Genomic DNA, 18,218 nt, shown 5'->3' on the forward strand with positions numbered 1-18,218 from the left:
TCTCTTTCCCTTTATAGTAAAACTTCCTGAAAGAGTTACCTTTATTCACTGTCTCCACTCTCCTCTCATAATTTTTCGAACCCATTCCAATCAGACTTTTGTCTACATGACTCCAGCCAACAGCTTTTTGTCAAAGTTCTCAATGACTTTTTTTTTTTTTTTTTTGATATGGAGTTTCGCTCTTGTCACCCAGGCTGGAGTGCAATGGCGCAATCTTGGCTCACTGCAACCTCCACCTCCTGGGTTCAAACAATTCTCCTGCCTCAGCCTCCCAAGTAGCTGGAATTACAGGCACCTGCCACCAGGCCCAGCTAATTTTTGTATTTTTAGTAGAGACGGGGTTTCACCATGTTGGCCAGACTGGTCTCAAACTCCTGACCTCAGGTGATCCACCTGCCTCAGCCTCCCAAAGTGCTGGGATTACAGGCATGAGCCACCATACCCGGCCAGGGTTCCCAAGGACTTTCACACAGATCCACTGGCCAATTTTCATTCCTTATCTTACCAGACCTATTGGCGTTATGCAACACGGGAGAGGGGCCTCTCCTTCTTGAAACACCTTCCTCACCTGGTTTGACACACTCTTAGTTCTACTCTGACCAGGCCACCCAATATCCTTTAATGATTCTCCTCCATCTCCCTGAACACTAGATATTGCCCTGGATTAGACCTCAAGCCTCTTCCCTTCTATAACACCACTCATTTTCCAGGTGTTCTCATTTGGTCTTATAGCATTAACTATCATACATATGCTGAAAGTCCTCAAATCTGTGTCTCTAGCCCAGCCATCTTCCCTGAACTCCAGACTTGTATTTCTAAGTGCCCATCTTATTTCTCCACTTGGATGAGTAACAAGCATCTTTAAGTTTAATATGATCTCTCACTTGATTATTGTAATGGCCTCCTAGCTGACTTCTCTGCTTTCCTCCTTGCTTTCTCTCCATCACCTGCCCAGTCTGTTCTCATCACAGCAGCCAAAGTGATCTTGTTGAGAGCTAAGTCAGATCATATCACTTTCTGCTTAACCCTCCAGTGGCTTCCCGTTTAGTCAGAGTAAAACCTAAACCCTTAGAATAAACTGTACTAACTTTTGCTGTGAATCAATAATCCTTTGAGATAGAAACATCCTATAGAACATTGATTCAAAATTATTTTGTTAAAGTGAGGCAAAATCTGCAGGAACTTCCCATTTTCTTTCATTTCTTCTGATCACTCTTCAAGACAAAATAATCTCATAGGAATAAATAATAGGCACTACTATTGATGAAATATCAATGAAGTTATAGCTATATTTTATTATATTAGAAAAAAAAATCTTGGGCAGAGTGTGGTGGCTAATGCCTATAATCCCAGCACTTTGGGAAGCTGAGGCAGGCGGATCACTCGAGGTCAGGAGTTTGAGACCAGCCTGGCTAACAAGGTGAAACCCCGTCTCCTAAAAAGACAAAAATTAGGCCGGGTGCAGTGGCTCATGCCTGTAATCCTAGCACTTTGAGACGCTGAGGTGGGCAGATTGCCTGAGCTCAGGAGTTCGAGAGCAGCCTGGGCAACATGGTGAAACCCCATCTCTACTAAAATACAAAAGAGATTAGCTGGGCGTGGCAGCATGCGCCTGCAATCCCAGCTACTCGGGAGGCTGAGGCAGGAGAATTGCTTGAAGCCAGGAGGCGGAGGTTGCAGTGAGCTGAGATTGCACCACTGCGCTCCAGGCTGGGTGACAGTGCGAGACTCCAAAAAAGCAAAAATTAGCTGGGTGTGGTGGCACATGCCTGTAATCCCAGCTACTCGGGAGGCTGAAGCAGGAGAATCGCTTGAACCTGGGAGGCAGAGGTTGCGGTGAGTCGAGATCGCGTCACTACACTCCAGCCTGGGCGATAGAGCGAGACTCCATTGCCAAAAAAAAAAAAAACAAAAAACTTTCAGGAACCCAAATATATGTAAACTTTGGTAGGTTGCCAGTTGGACTAAAATTTGAAATCTATTGCTCTATAAATAAGCATTAAAATGCCTTCACAAAAGATAATTTTTCATTTTTTTCTAGCCATCAGAGATGTATGATATTATTATACCTACCTTGTGAATCAAGAGTGAGTTTATAGACATTTCCAGCTTTATTAATCAAAAGGGAACTAGACAAACAAGAGCTCTCATTCACTTCTTCTAATCCAAAGGGCTCTTTCATTTCTGCAATAACTGAGGACAAAAATCCTTTAGGAGTCGTATGTTGCAATACCTTTCTTATGTAAGCTCTTCCAGTTTTCCTAAAAACAAATAAAACCATTAAGCAATTTGGATAAAACAGTGGATTAAATGAACCAATTTATGAACAAATAATTTACAAAGAAAGTATACCACAAATAACTAACAAATATTTGATTAACATTTGTTCAACCCCATTAGTAATCAATGAAATGGCAATTATAACAATGGGATACAATTTTTAACCTCTAAAATTAGCGAAGATCTTTAAATGACAGGGTTCAGTAGTGGTGGGAATTGAGTGAAGATAGGCATTCATCCACTACTGATGGGATTGTAAATTAGAACTAGCTTCCTGGAAAGCAATTTGACATTATGCATTAGGAGCGTGCTAACCTTTTCCCTGCTCTGATTCCATGTCTATTATTATGGCTCTATCCTAAGGAAAGAACTTGAAACAGAGGGGTGGGGGAGAAAGCTTTCTATACAAATATATTCATTAGGGTAAAATTTAGAAATGAGAAATGTCAATAAAAAAACTAAGTGAATGATATTACATGATTTACTTAGAGAAAATGCAATGATTAAAAGGGTGTTTAGAAAGAGTTTTTAACAGTGTAGGGAAAATGATCATATTATAATGTCCAAATGAAGAAAGCAAGTGGAAAAATGTTAAAATGCATATAAAAAGGACTAATTGGCAGTTCATCAAAGTGTTAACAGTCATAATTTCAATTATCTTAATATTTTTCTGCCTTTTAGGAAATTTCTATACTGAGCATGTATTAACTTTATAACCAGGAAAACAATCTGTTTCTAAAATGTTAGCCTTGCATATCCACATGCAAAAAATTCAATCTAGACACAGATCTTACAATCATCACAAAAATTAACTCTAGGCCGGGTGCAGTGGCTCACACCGGTAATCCCAGCACTTTGGGAGCTGAGGCAGGCAGATTGGTTGAGCCTAGGAGTTCAAGACCAGCCTAGGCAACATGGTGAAACCCTATCTTTACTAAAAATACAAAAATTAACCAGGTATGGTGGCACATGCCTGTAATCCCAGCTACTCAGGAGGCTGAGGCAGTGGGATCACTTGAGCCTGTGAGGTGGAGGTTGCAGTGAGCTGAGATAGTGCCACTGCACTCCAGCGTGGGTGACAGAGCCAGACCCTGTCTCAAAAAAGAAAATAAAGAACTCTAAATGGGCCACAGACTTAAATATAAAATGTAAAACTATAAAACTCCTAAGAAGATAACATAGGAGAAAATCTAGATGACCTTGGGTATGGCAATTACTTTTTTCCCTCAATTAAAAAAATTATGTTAAAATATATGCTATGGTTTTAATGTATTCCTCAAAGTTCATGTGTTGAAAACACAATTTCCAATGCAAGAGTGTTGAGAGGTGGGACTTTTTTTTTTTTTTTTTTTTTTTTGAGACAGAGTCTTGCTCTGCCGCCAGCCTGGAGTGCAGTGGCGCCATCTCAGCTCACTGCAACCTGAGAGGTGGGACTTTTAAGGGGTGATTAGATCATGAGGCTTTGCCCTCACGAATGGATGAATGCCATTATTGCAGGAGTGGGTTAATTATTGTGTGAGTGGGTTCCTGATAAAAGAATGAATTCAGTCCCTTCCCTCCCCCTGTCTTTCTCTCTCTCTTTTGCACATGAGTGCTTCATATGCGTGCTCACATGTGCTCACCCTTCTGCCTTCCACCATGGGATGACGGAGCATGAGGCCCTCACCAGATGTGGGCCCCCCAGTCTTGGATTTCCCACCCTCCAGAACTGTAAGAAATAAATTTCTTTTCTTTATACATTACCCAGTCTGTGATATTCTATTATAGCAGCATGAAACAGACTAAGAAGATACACCTAACAAAATTTACCATCTTCATGCAATGACTGTTGAATACAACACCAAAGACACAATCCATGAAAGAGAAAATTGATAAATTTCTCTCCAGTTTTCCTAAACACAAGTAAAACCATTAAGTAATTTGGATAAAACAGTGGATTACATGAACCAATTTATGAACAAATAGTTTATAAACAAAATATACCAAAAATAGCTAACAAACATTTGATTAACATTTGGTCGACCTCATTTGTAATAGAAGAAATTGCAATTACAACAATGGGATACAATTTTTAACCAATTAGTAAAGATTTTTAAATGACAGTGTTAAGCAGTGAACACTGAATTTGTGTTAAAAATACATGCTATGGTTTGCATGTATCTCTCATTAGTAATTGGTACCTTACTAAAATTACAAACTTACACTCTGAAATATCCTGTCAAGAGAATTAGAAGACAAGCCACATACTAGGAGAAAATATTTTCAAAAGACATATAAAGGACTGTTATCCAAAATAAACTGTAGGGGAAGGGAGAAGAAACCTCTTTTTCCTCTATTCTCCTTGGTTCTGTAACTGAGACCCTGACAATTATACTGACAAATACAGATTAACAAGAGAAAAACAGGTGGAATTTATTAACATGTGCATTGTGCTTACATGCAGGAAAAACAGCAGTGATGAGTAGCTAAAAAGGGTAGTTAGAACATGGGGCTTCATAACAAATTTTTAGAGAAGTGACAAGACAAAGAAAAATGGGCTTAGGTTTTTAGGGTCAGCAAACTGTGGAAGGTAAATAAATGGAGGGAACTAATGGAAGATAAGGGTTGTTTTGAGAAGGTTTCTTCTGTAAATTCTTTGTGTCTCTGGGTTTATTAATAGTCTAGAGTTGCTTGTGCCTGTAATCCCAGCTACTCTGGAGGAAAGCCTGAGGCAGGAGGGTTGCTTGAGGCCAGGAGTTGGAGACCAGCTTGGATGCAACATAGTGAGATCTTGCCTCTAAAAACATTTAAAAATAAAATAAACTAGCTGGGTGTGGTGGCACATGCCTGTAGTCCCAGCTACATGGGAGGCTGAGGCAGGAGGATTGCTTGAGCCCAGGAGTTCGAGGCTGCAGTGAGCTATGATTGCACCACTGCACTCCAGCCTGGGTAACAGAGTGAGAATCTGTCTCTAAAAAGAAAAAAATATATATTTATATAGTCTAGAGTTATCTTCAGTGATTAAGAATCATTCTGCCCTTTCTGGTGGGAGGGGGCAAAGAGTTTTTCTTGTGCTTGTTTTTCCTTAATTTCCTTCAGCTCAAATAATCTTTATGCCAAAGTGGCATATTCTTTGTTTTTTTGTTTTGTTTTGTTTGGAAATTGGAGGTCTCACTATTTTGCCCAGACTAGGCTTGAACTTGAGATCCTCCTGCCTCAGACTCTGTAGTAGCTGCACCTACAGGCACACACCACTGCATGGTTCTGGGTTGGCATAATCTGATCTCCTACAATACAAAAATCTCTAATAATATAACAATAAGAAAGTGTACAACCTGATTTAAAAAATGGGCCAAAGACCTTAACAGATACCTCACCAAAGAATATATGCAGATGGCAGGTAACTATAGCAAAAAATGTTCTACATCATATACTGATATGGTTTGGCTCAATGTCCCCACCCAAATCTCATCTTGAATTGTAATCCCCACGTGTCAAGGGAGGGACCTGGTGGGAGGTGGTTGGATCATGGGGGCGGTTTTCCCCATGCTGTTCTCATAACAGTGAGGGAGTTCTCATGAGATCTGATGGTTTTAAAAATGGCAGTTTCCCCTGCACTGTCTCTTTCTCCTGCCGCCATGTAAGACGTGCCTTGCTTCCCCTTCATCTTCCACCATGGCCTCCCCAGCCATGCAGAACTGTGAGTCAATTAAACCTCTTTCCTTTATAAATTACCCAGTTTCAGGTATTTCTTTATAGCAGTGTGAAAACAGACTACTGCATATGTCATCAGGGAAATGCAAATTAACAATGAGATACCACCACATGACTATTAGAATGGCAGAAATCCAAAACACTGACAACCCAAATACTGGTGAGTATGTGAATAATAGGAACTCTCGTTCATTGTTGATAGAAATGGAAATGATACAGCCAGTCTGGAGGACAGTTCAGTCATTTTTTACAAAACTAAACATACTCTTAGCATACAATCAAGCAAAATGCCTTGGTATTTACCCAAATGAGTCGAAAACTTATATCTATACAAAACCTGCAAATAGGTGTTTACAGAAGCTTTATTTATAATTGCTAAAACTTGGAAGCAACCAAGATGTTCTTCAGTAGGTAAATGAATAAATAAACTGCGGGATACTCAGATGATGGAATATTATATGATTCAGCACTAAAAAAGAAATGAGCTATCAAGCCATGAAAAGACATGGAGGAAATTTAGATGCATATTACTAAGTACAAGAAGCCTCTGAAAAGGCTATATACGGTATGATTCAAACTATATGACATTCTGGAAAAGGCAAAATTATGGAGACAGCAAAAAGATCGGTGGTTGCCAGGGGTGAGGGGAAGAGAGAGTTGAAGAGGCAAAGCATAGAGAATTTTTAGGGCAGTGAAACTCTTCTGTATGATATTGTGATGATGAATACTTATCATTATACATTTGTTCAAACCCATTGAATTTGCAACACTAAGAGTAAGTCCTAATGTAGGTACGTACGCTGGGTGATAAATGATGTGTCAATGTAGGTTCATGAGCTGTAACAAATGTACCACTTTGGTGTGGGATGTGGATAGTGGGGAAGGTTTCGTGTGTGTATGGGACAGAGGTATATAGGAACTCTATTTTCTGCTCAATTTTGCTGTAAAACTGTAATTAATTTAAAAAGTTTATTAATTAATTTTAAAAAGTTAACCTCTTTGTATCTGAAGTCAATGGCCAATGGTCAGGCAGCTACCTTAATTATGAAAGCTGTCTCCCCACTTCTTCCTACTATTGCACATGGGGGGTGATTAAGCACTGCTGTTCCAGAAGAGGAGAGAAATCAGCCTTTAAAAGAGAAGGAAAGGGGATTTGTGCAATGGAGAATGAATCAGTGAATTTTAGAGGTGGAGAGGAACAACTGTTGAGTGGAGAAAACACTGCAAAAAGACAAATATCATCAAACTAAGCTACCTATGCATTCTAAGCTCCCATTCCAATGCCTGTGCCATTTCCCCAGCCCAGCTGATCCCTTCCACTCCATGCCAATGAAACTGTTTTCATCAAGGTTACTACAGCCTAGAATGGTGCCAAATTCAAAGGTCACATCTTTATTCTTATTTTACTCAAGTCTCTGCAGCATGCATCACAGTTGATCACTCCATACTTTCTAAACACCCTCTTCTCTTGGTTTATATGGCCCCACATTTTCCTGTGTTTTTTCTACCTTACTGGCTGCTCCTTCTCATCCTTCTTTGCTAGGGCCTTCTTCTTAGCCCAGGCTCTCTTCCTGGAGCACCCCAGGGCTTTTCTTCTCTACATACACCCTCCTCTGCAGGTAGAATCACCCATCTGTATCTGAACAATTGCCAAATGCCAAGTTTCCACTCTGACTTTTCTGAGCTATGAATTCATACATCTAACTGCCAACTTCACATCTTCACTTAGATACCTAGCACACATTTCAAACTGAACATTTCCAATGTGGAACTCTGAATTACCCTGCCTGATACCTGCACTTTTCGTCTCGGAAAATGGCGGTAGCGTCCTTCTAGCTACAAACCACAAACCTAGACAATTTTTGATCACTTTCTTGCTCATATCCCTAACAGGCAAATGCATCATCAGATCCTGTCTTCACTCAACTGCACCTGCTCCAGCACCATAATCTGTCACCTGTATTACTTTAATAACTTTCTAAGGGGCTTGGCAGCTTCTACTCACACCCTGTCCCACACTTTTCACAGCAATCAGAGTGATCCTTTCAAAAATGTAAATTGGATTATTTAAAAATAATCCAATAACATTCTCCAATGGTTTCTGCTGACACCAAGAAGAAAATTTACACTCTTCCTGCATCCTATAATACCGTCTATGATCTGGCACTAGCTGACCTCCTTGCTGGCCTTTCCACGACACCATCACTGTGCATCATCTATACTGGCTTTCTTCATGTTTATTAAACACATCCCAATTTTTCTTGCCTCACTGTATGCAACTTCTTTAGCCTGGAAAGCTCTTTCATTGGCTCTTTGCTCTTCATTCTTGGGTCTTTGCTTACCCTTCTTACTCCCTCTGTCACCATATTTACTTTCTTCAAAGCACATGTTAGATATGAATTTGTTTTGGTTTACCTGTTTATCACCTGTATCTGTTTATTAGAATGTCATCTCCATGCAGGGAAGAGTCTTGTCTATCTTGTTTACCACTATATTCCCAGTGCCTAGCACAAGACTTGATATGTAATAGGCACTCAAATATTCATTGAATGAATGAAGAGCTTTACTGAAACCTTTGTGTGTTGATGATACATTCCTTCTGAGCAATTTAGTAAAAACATGGACATTAAGTTATCACTATTAAGATTTTGTGAAGATTCAGGGCCGGGTGCAATGGCTCATGCCTGTAATCCCAGCACTTTGGGAGGCCGAGGCGGGTGGATCACCTGAGGTCAGAAGTTCAAGACCAGCCTGGTCAACATGGTGAAACCCCGTCTCTACTAAATATACAAAAAATTAGTCAGGCGTGGTGGTGGGCGTCTGTAATCCCAGCTACTTGGGAAGCTGAGGCAGGAGAATCGCTTGAACCCAGGAGGCGGAGGTTGCAGTGAGCTGAGATCGCGCCATTGGACTCCAGCCTGGGCAACAAGAACAAAACTCCATCTCAAAAAACAAACAAAAATAATAATAATAATAAAAAGGCCAAGAGGGATTTCTTCAAGGGGACCACTTCAGAAACTGTAATATTTCTTCTGAGGTTTGAGGAACCGAGGGACCAGAATTGGACTCATTCTTGAGAAATATAAAGGGTAGATACTGACTAGACACCCAGAGTTTAATGATTACATATGGAATGGGAAAGAGATAAAGTTATTAAGTAACTTTAGACTTTTTAAGTTAACACACAGTAAAAATCTTGGATAACATGAAAAAGCAAAATAAAACAGGGTGTAAAAGTCCCAATCAAGTAGAAGAAGAAAAGAATGGAAAGAGGAGAAAAAAGAACCTTAAAATAAGGTAAGCAAGAAGAGAAGACAAAAATGAAACATAGAAAAAGGTGGGACAAATAGAAAGTACAAAAGAAGATGGTAGGAATGAAGACAAATATATTAGTAAAAATAATAAATGTAGTTGAACTAAACTCTCCAACTAAAGGACAGAAATTGTTAAATTGGCTAAAACCACAAAATTCATTTATGTCTTTTATGACAGATATACAAAGCAGGTGAAAGTTAAAGGATTGAAATAGTATACCACGAAAATATTATCCAAAGAAGGCTGATGCCATGTATCAATAACAAAAAAAGCTACAAACAAAAACAAAACATTGAAACTCATAACAAAAAACCCCTGATTTAAAAATGGGCAAAGGATTTGAATGAATTTAATGCTACAGAATGGTACATCTTAAAATGGTTAAAAAAAGCATAATAAAAAAGCCACGGTCATGCAAAAAAGCATTATAATGATAAAAATAGTCACTAAATACCAACAAAATGTTCAACTGATCATGAAGATGTAACAATTCTAAACTTATATGTACCTAATAACAATCTCAAAATATACAAGGCAAAATTGACACAACTATAATTTTAAAATGGACAAATCCAGTATACACAGTAGGAAAGTTTAATACAGCTTTCTCAATAATTGATAGATCAAGCAGAAACAAATCATTAAGGATACAGAAAATTGCAATATCACAAGGAACAGGATTAATCTAACAAATAAATATTAATACTGCATTAAATAGGAAAGCATTCAGAACACCCCAAAATATCTGCTCTAGCCCACTGATTGAGTTAAAGTCACTTAAAACACACACACACACACACATACACACCAGCAAATGCAGAAAGGACACTGTGACCTACCTAAAGGCAGGAGATAAAACTCCCATGTGGAAGGTGTCCTCCTTGCACCTGGAGAAGGACATTGTTTTTATTACTAGAGATGGGGAGCCAAAGCCAAGAGAAATTTGTACAAACAGACCTTGTTAAACTAACCCTTATCTTCCTAGCCACTTCTCCACAGTTAACTACCCTAGCCCAAGCCCCCTTGCCTTGTCACATTTTCACAACTTACTACTTTTTGTTCAACCCAGTATATACATGTTCAACTCTAACTGCTTCTTCAGGGGTCTTCATTTCTTCAGGAGGACTCCTATGTTACACAAAACTTACATTAAGTAAATGTGTATGCTTTTCTCCTGTTAATCTGTCTTATGTCAGTTTAATTCTCAGGCCCAGCCAAAACACCCTAAGAGGATAAATGTAAAATTTTGCCTCCCATACAAAATATTTACTGAAATTGACCATAATGAATGGCCTAGTCCTAGGCCATAAAGTAAGTTTCAAACAATTTCAAAAAACAAATTTTCAAGGAACAAAATATTCCAGTCTTAAACTCTTCCAGAAAATTAAAAAAAAAAGAAAACAATTGTCTATGAGGCTAGTACAATCTTGTTAACAGAACCACAGAAGGGCAATATGAGAAAGAAAAATTACAGGTAAACTTCCTACATGAACATAGATGTTTAAATCTTAAATATTAGCAAACCGAGTCCAGAAATGTATGAAAACAGGTAATATACAATGTCAAAGATAGGTATATTCCAGGACTTTAAGGTTGGTTCAACATTAAATCCACAATATAATTTACAACGTTAAATAAAAAGTTAAAGGAAAAAATTCTATAGATAAGCTCAATAGATACACGAGAAATATTAATTTAAAACCCAAACTCTAAATCTCTTAAACTAGAAAAATAGATAAATTTATTTAAATGATAAAGGGTTTAAGAAAACTATGAAATGCTTAAATATATATATATAGAGAGAGAGAGAGAAAAAGAAAAAGAGAGAGAGAGTGTCAGGAACAACAATAATTCCATTATCTTCTATTTAACAAAGTATTGGAGGTCCTAGACACTATAACAGGAAAAAGCTATAATATGCTAAGAAACATTAAGGAAAAAACAAAAAAAATTATAGTTGACCCTTGAACAATGCAGAGGTTAGGGATGCCAACCTCCTGTGCAGATGAAAATTCACATATTACTTTTAATTCCCCCCAAATTTAACTACAAGTAGGCTATTGTTGACTGGAAGTCTTACCAATAACATAAACAGTTGATTAACACATATTTTGTATGTTATATGTCTTACATGCTGTATTCTTACAATAAAGTAAGCTACGGGAAAAAATGTTATTAAGAAAATCGTAAGAAAGGGAAAATATATTTATTATTTCTTAAGTGGAATGGATCATCATAAAGATCTTCATCCTAGTCATCTTCTTGATTAGGCTGAGGAGGCCTTACTGACTCAGGGGTGGCAGAGGCAGAAAAATTTCCATGTATAAGTGGACCTGCACAGTTCAAACCCATGTTGTTCAAGGATCAATTGTACTGGCAGGTAATAAGATTATCTACTTAAAAATATTTATACAGTATGGAAATTTCTCAAAGAACTAAAAAGAGATTTACCATTAGATCCAGCAATCCCACTACTGGTTATCTACCCAAAGGAAAAGAAGTCATTATATAAAACAAGACATCTGAATACATATGCTTATTGTAGCATAATTCACATTTGCAAAGATATGGAATCAACCCAAGTGCCATAAACTGATGAGTGGATTTAAAAAATGTGATATATATATATATACATACACACACACACACCATGGAATACTACTCAGCCATACAAAACAATGAAATAATGTCTTTTGCAGCAAAAGCTGCAAAAACTGCCTCACGGTGCAAGGTATTGTTAGCTGTGGGACAAGATATGTATTGACAGCCCCAAACACATATAATATACAGATTCCAACCTGGTATAAGAATAGAGTCCACCACTTGGAGACAAGGTTAATATCTTAGTCTATCTGGGCTGCCATAATAAAATACCATAAACCAGGTAGCCTATAAACAGCAGAAATTTATTTCTCACAGCTCTAGAGGCTGGAAAGTCTGAGATCAAGGTGCCAGCAGATTTGGTATCTGGTGAGGGTCCACTTTCTGGTTTATAGATGGTGTCTTCTACGTGTGTCCTTCCATGGTGGAAGGGCCTAGCTGGCTCTGTCCTTCAGTCCTTCGTGGTGGAAGGGCCTAGCTAGCTCTCTGGGGTCTCTTTCATAAGGACACTAATTCCATTCATGAGGGCAGAGTCCTCATGACCTAGTCACCTACCAAGGGCCCCACCTCCTAATACTACCACCTTGAGGGTTAGGATTTCCACATATGAATTTTTGGGGAAAACAGATATTTAGACCACAGCAGTGAGTTTCTGGTAATCTGAAATTGTTGAAATTGTTTCTTTTTTAGTTGGTAGATTTGGGGGTTATATAATTCATATTCTTTTTTTTTTGAGACAGAGTCTCACTCTCTCACTCAGGCTGGAGTGCAACGGCAATGGCACAATCTTGGCTCGCTGCAACCTCGGCCTCCTGGGTTCACGCAACTATTGTGCCTCGGTCTTCCCAGTAGCTGGGATTACAGATGTGAGCCACCACACCTGGCTAATTTTTTTTATTTTTAGTAGAGATGGAGTTTCACCATGTTGGTCAGACTGGTCTCCAACTCCTGGTCTCAACTGATCTGCTGGCCTTGGCCTCCCAAAGTTCTGGGATTACAGGTGTGAGCCATGGCACCCAGCCAGAATTCATATTCTGAATAAGAGTTATTAGGCCTTAAAGGTAGCTTTAAGGGTTATTGACTCTTACTGTAAGCATTTCTGAGAATTCTGTATATTGTTCAATGCAATATTTCATAAAAGATAGCCTCCACTACATTAAATGTGTTGGTCTCTAGGATATACAAGAATTGTCATTTGAGTAAACTCAGTGGATAGGAAGTATCCAGTGTTGTCCAGAATATTTTTGATACTCACGAAACACATTTCTATAGCTTGGCCTGATGGCACTGATATAAATGGTCCTAGGTTTCTAAAATTGGGGCAGCATGCAAGACATCTAGGAGTTTATAAATGTATTTGGCCTTGTGGGGTGTCAAAAAAATACTTACTCTATTTGACCAAGAAAATTATTCAAAAAAGTAGGCCCAAAAATTTAGATTCTATTGGCCAGCTGCAGTGGCTCACACTTGTAACCTCAGCAGTTTGGGAAGCTGAGGTGGGTGAATCCCTTGAGCTCAGGGGTTTGAGACCAGCCTGGGCAACATGGTGAAACCCCATCTCTACAAAAAATACAAAACTTAGCCGGGCTTGGTGGTGTGTGCCTGCAGTCCCAGCTATTCTGGAGGCTGGGGCCAGAGCATTGCTTGAGCCTGGGAGATTGAGGCTGCAGTGAGCTGTCATCGCACTACTGCACTCCAGCCTGGATGACAGAGCAAGACCCTATCTCAAAAAATTTAAAAAGTAGATTCTAGAAACCAATATGCCATCTAAATAAATGCATATCACTACCCAGAGTGTATCACTTTTCCATAGTGTATATTGCCGAACTTCTTGCTGTAGATCGTTTCCTGGGGTTCGTTCTCAGGTACATATGCAAAAAAGATAATTTCATCTAAGGAGGTGTGCTGTGGGGCAAGCGCAGTCTCAAAGCCCATATCTGGAGGCTGGAAACAGAGAAAAGAAAATATTATATTTAAACTACTTTATACTTCAATTATGACAAAATTGAAGTCACAGATTTATTTCCAGTTCACATTAAAACAATACTGGTTTACTTATCAATTGGAGAAATAAGTCAACGTGTTCTGTTGGAACATCCATGTGTGTGCAAGGGAAGATGTATTTTCCTGTTAAGGAGGAATGGAAGTTCTGATGACTAAGATGTGGTGTAAGATTCCTATGCCCTTCGTGGATGGTTGGAGTGAAAGGGTACATGGAAACTTGACTCACATTGTGGGTGTGTGAGGAGCCTGGAGATGCAGATTTTAGAACTGGGTTCTTATTTGAAGTTTTATTTAGGAAAGGGCCCGTGAAATCCCTGTCCTCACTTGCTGCTCCTGATCTCGTGCTAGAGACTCTGGACAGCTGCTGTCTGAGTCTCCCAACTGGCAGCATAAGCTGTTCTCCTTTCCTGACTCACAGACCTCCCCTTGCAGTCTACCCAGGCACTTCTGGCCTAGATTTCTGATCTATAGGTCTTTCTTTTCAACACACCTTTCTCTAATCCTGACCCTGTCCTGCTTGGGGAACTTTTAGGGGAGAGAAGAGAGGTAGGGACCATCCCCAAAGGGGCTGCTGGAGTTGACTTTGTTGCTATGAGACAAGGTGTGGGTGGTAGATCGTGCAGACTGGTTGGGGACACATCTGTCCCATAGTGCCTCCAAGACTCATCTTCTGTCATGCTTTTTTTCCTAGTTACTGAATTTTGGGAGTGCACTGAGGAGAAATGGGAAATAGATGCCAGGAAAATCAATGTGGGATTGAGCCAAATGGCTTGAGGACTCTTGAAAATCACTGAAATGGCTAAACATCTTTAGAATTCTGTATGACACTGTAGCCTGGGAGTGGCAAGTGTATCCTAGGGAAAGTGTATGCAAGTCCAATGAAAGGCAGCAGGTGGCTAAGAGCACAGGCCCCGGAGCCAGTTGCCTGGGATAGATGTCTAATCCCAATAACTAACCAGCCTGTCTGTGCCTCGCTTTCTTCATAAGTGAAATAGGAATAAATCGTCGTTATAAAGATTGAGAGCTCCAATACTGTAATAAGAGCCAGCGATTATTTTTATCCAGAGAGAATGCATGCATAGTTTGTGGAGAGGGAAGTGATATTGCTGAGTATGGCTTCGTCAAACTTGTCCTAAGTATACAAATACCTGTAGGGTTTTTTTTTCTTTTAATAATTTAAACTTTCACATAAGGGAACTAAGAAACTTTCTACAAATTGTGAAGTTGGTGAAAAATGAGGTAAATGCTTTTTTTTAGTTAGTTCTACCCTCCTGCTCACATCATTCGCTTTGTATAAATGCGGAATTCACACCCCAGACTTGGGCAAAGACACAGGGAGTCACATGTGGCATCTTAACTCTCCCAAGGAAGTTCCTGCCCTCATTCTCTATGCATGTCTCAGAGAGGGGAAGATAAACACCATCCTCTCAACTGCAGCCTTGGCCTGGTAATTGGAATGATCTTTTAAAACCAGATTCATCTTTTGTTCCTTTTCCTTTAAGTCAAAGGGCAGGTTTTACTAACCCCAGTCAAAAATGTTTGATAATTTGCTGATGGTTTGAGAGTGTCCAGTTTTGTAACTGGTGCCCAAGGATGAGCTACCTTCACAAGCAGCATATTATACATTAAACTATTATAAAAACCGGTATCAAGTGTCATCTGTAAAGAAGATAACTCCTTTTTTTGTTGTCACTAGAAAAAGAAGAAACCAGGGAGAAGGGTTAATAGGAAAGAAGAAAGGTAGACCACAGCTCATGTTCCTTTTTTTTTTTTTTGAGTCAGGGTCTTGCTCTGTTGCCCAAACTGGAGTTCAGTGGCACGATCACAGCTCACTTCAGCAGCGTGATCGCAGTTCACTTCAGCCTCAACTTCCCAGGTTCAAGTGATCCTCCTGCCTCAGCCTCCCAAGAAGCTGGAACTACAGATGAATGCCACCACACCAGGCTAATTTTTTAATTCTTTGGTAGAGATGGGGTTTCACCTTGTTGCCCAGGCTAGTCTCCAACTCCTGGGCTGAAGCGATCAACCCACCTCAGCCTCCCACAATGCTAGGATTACAGGCATGAGCCATGGCGCCTGGCCTCACAACCCATGTTTCTTCAGGGACAACCTTAAGAGGTAGAGAATCAATCCTACCTTGGCCTGGGTTGGGAGTAATGGTTCTAGCTTAGAAGTAATGGTTCTAGCTTAGAATGTTTAGTGGTGTTCTGCTGCGAAGATATTTGCATGAAGATATTCTAGGTGGAATTGAAGCTATATAATTCCATATGGGACTTGGAAGAAGATTTGGAGATGTTTGTGGCACATGGAGGTTCTTCCTTTAGTTAAATAGAGCAAACTGCATTAATGAGTTTGTCCCAAGGAAAATACTTTCCCATTTTCCCATTATTCTATGTATTGAATGTGGCATCTATTCTTAAAATAAGGCAAACTGTTTCAATGCATTATATACTGACCTGTCCAAAAAGATTTCTAGAATTTCCAAAGGCTGTGGGTGGTCCACTAGCTTCAAAGCGACCCAGAGTCAGCTTATGTAGGAATCCCAAGTGATCATAGTATAATGTGAAAATTCTCTCAGTAACACTTCCGACTGCACTGTATCTTCCCATTCCTATTAGGAAATACAGAGAAGTGTCTTGATACTGATGTAACAGAAGTCGAAAAACTTTAATATCATACCTTGTAAAGACACCTTCATTTAAACTAAGAGGTGGAAGTAGGGCCCTGAGACTCCTGAATTAGGAAAATGCATGTTAGTTTTTGTTAAGTCCCTGGAAAGCCTTTTCCAGACTCCATGTCACTACAGAATCTGTTCACTGAAGTAGGGGAAGAAACAAACAGAGGGGATGTTTAATTAAGAGATCTAGAGGAAAAGCGGTTAGGTCTCTCTAGTAGTGGTTTCTCTTCCTATTACCAGCAAATCAGATTCCTGAAGAGGTAAAAGTCAGCAAGAAAACAATCCTTAGGAAGGCAAGGCGAATCATCAGTAGACATTGGTCATTAAATTATACTAGGATTAATATGTTGAACCAAACTGGGCGTCCTGTGGTTCTCTCATCCTTAGGGCGCCACGTTGAGAGGCACTGTCAGTAATCAGATGGTGCCGCAGCATTCACTTAGCCAAACAGACACTGGTCCTGAGACAGGGTCCCCTCCCTTGGAAGGAGCTAGAGTGAAAGATCATGGCTCAGGATGAAAAAGACTAATTTCTGCACACTGCATCCCACCCAAACCCACCCAGTTAGCTCAGGCTCTCCTAGCTCATTCTACACATTGGAGTGTCCAGGACTCAGTTTTTAGATTACTTCTCTCACTATCTTTGGAGATCTCATTCAGTTTTAGGATTTTAAATCCATCTTTAGATGGATAATTCCCAAATTTAAGTCTACCATCTAGTGCTCTTCCCTGAAGTCTAGGCTTATGTAGCTAACTGCCTTCCAACAGCTTCATTCGATGTTGGTTAGGCCTCTCAAAGTGAACTCATTCCAGACTGAGCTCCTGATCCTCACGCAAACCTCCTCCAGCCCCAGCCTTCCTCACCTTCATTAATGGCAGCTGCATTATTGCTGTTGCTTAGCCCAAAAACCTCAATGTCATTCTTTTTATTTTTTTATTTTTTTTTTATTTAAGTTTTAAGGTACATGTGCACATTGTGCAGGTTAGATACATATGTATACATGTGCCATGCTGGTGCACTGCACCCACTAACTCGTCATCTAGCATTAGGTATATCTCCCAATGCTATCCCTCCCCCCTCCCCCCACCCCACCACAGTCCCCAGAGTGTGATATTCCCCTTCCTGTGTCCATGTGATCTCATTGTTCAATTCCCACCTATGAGTGAGAATATGCAGTGTTTGGTTTTTTGTTCTTGCGATAGTTTACTGAGAATGATGATTTCCAATTTCATCCATGTCCCTACAAAGGACATGAACTCATCATTTTTTATGGCTGCATAGTATTCCATGGTGTATATGTGCCACATTTTCTTAATCCAGTCTATCATTGTTGGACATTTGGGTTGGTTCCAAGTCTTTGCTATTGTGAATAATGCCGCAATAAACATACGTGTGCATGTGTCTTTATAGCAACATGATTTATAGTCCTTTGGGTATATACCCAGTAATGGGATGGCTGGGTCAAATGGTATTTCCAGTTCTAGATCCCTGAGGAATCGCCACACTGACTTCCACAATGGTTGAACTAGTTTACAGTCCCACCAACAGTGTAAAAGTGTTCCTATTTCTCCACATCCTCTCCAGCACCTGTTGTTTTTAATGATTGCCATTCTAACTGGTGTGAGATGGTATCTCATAGTGGTTTTGA

General features: G+C 39.7%; 1 protein-coding gene across 1 annotated transcript in view; it reads right to left on the reverse strand.

Annotated features, from left to right (window-relative positions):
• The window catches only part of CATSPERB (catsper channel auxiliary subunit beta), a 151,389-nt gene that overhangs the window by 42,049 nt on the left and 91,122 nt on the right, over window positions 1–18,218 (reverse strand). Inside the window, exons 16-18 of the mRNA NM_024764.4 lie at window positions 16,350–16,504; window positions 13,679–13,833; window positions 2,074–2,261 (exon numbers count right to left, since the gene is read on the reverse strand). Of these exons, the coding sequence (NP_079040.2) occupies window positions 2,074–2,261; window positions 13,679–13,833; window positions 16,350–16,504 (498 nt within the window). The remainder of the gene's footprint in view (window positions 1–2,073; window positions 2,262–13,678; window positions 13,834–16,349; window positions 16,505–18,218) is intronic.

The sequence above is a fragment of the Homo sapiens genome, chromosome 14, assembly GCF_000001405.40.
Source record: "Homo sapiens chromosome 14, GRCh38.p14 Primary Assembly".
Taxonomy (NCBI): domain Eukaryota; kingdom Metazoa; phylum Chordata; class Mammalia; order Primates; family Hominidae; genus Homo; species Homo sapiens.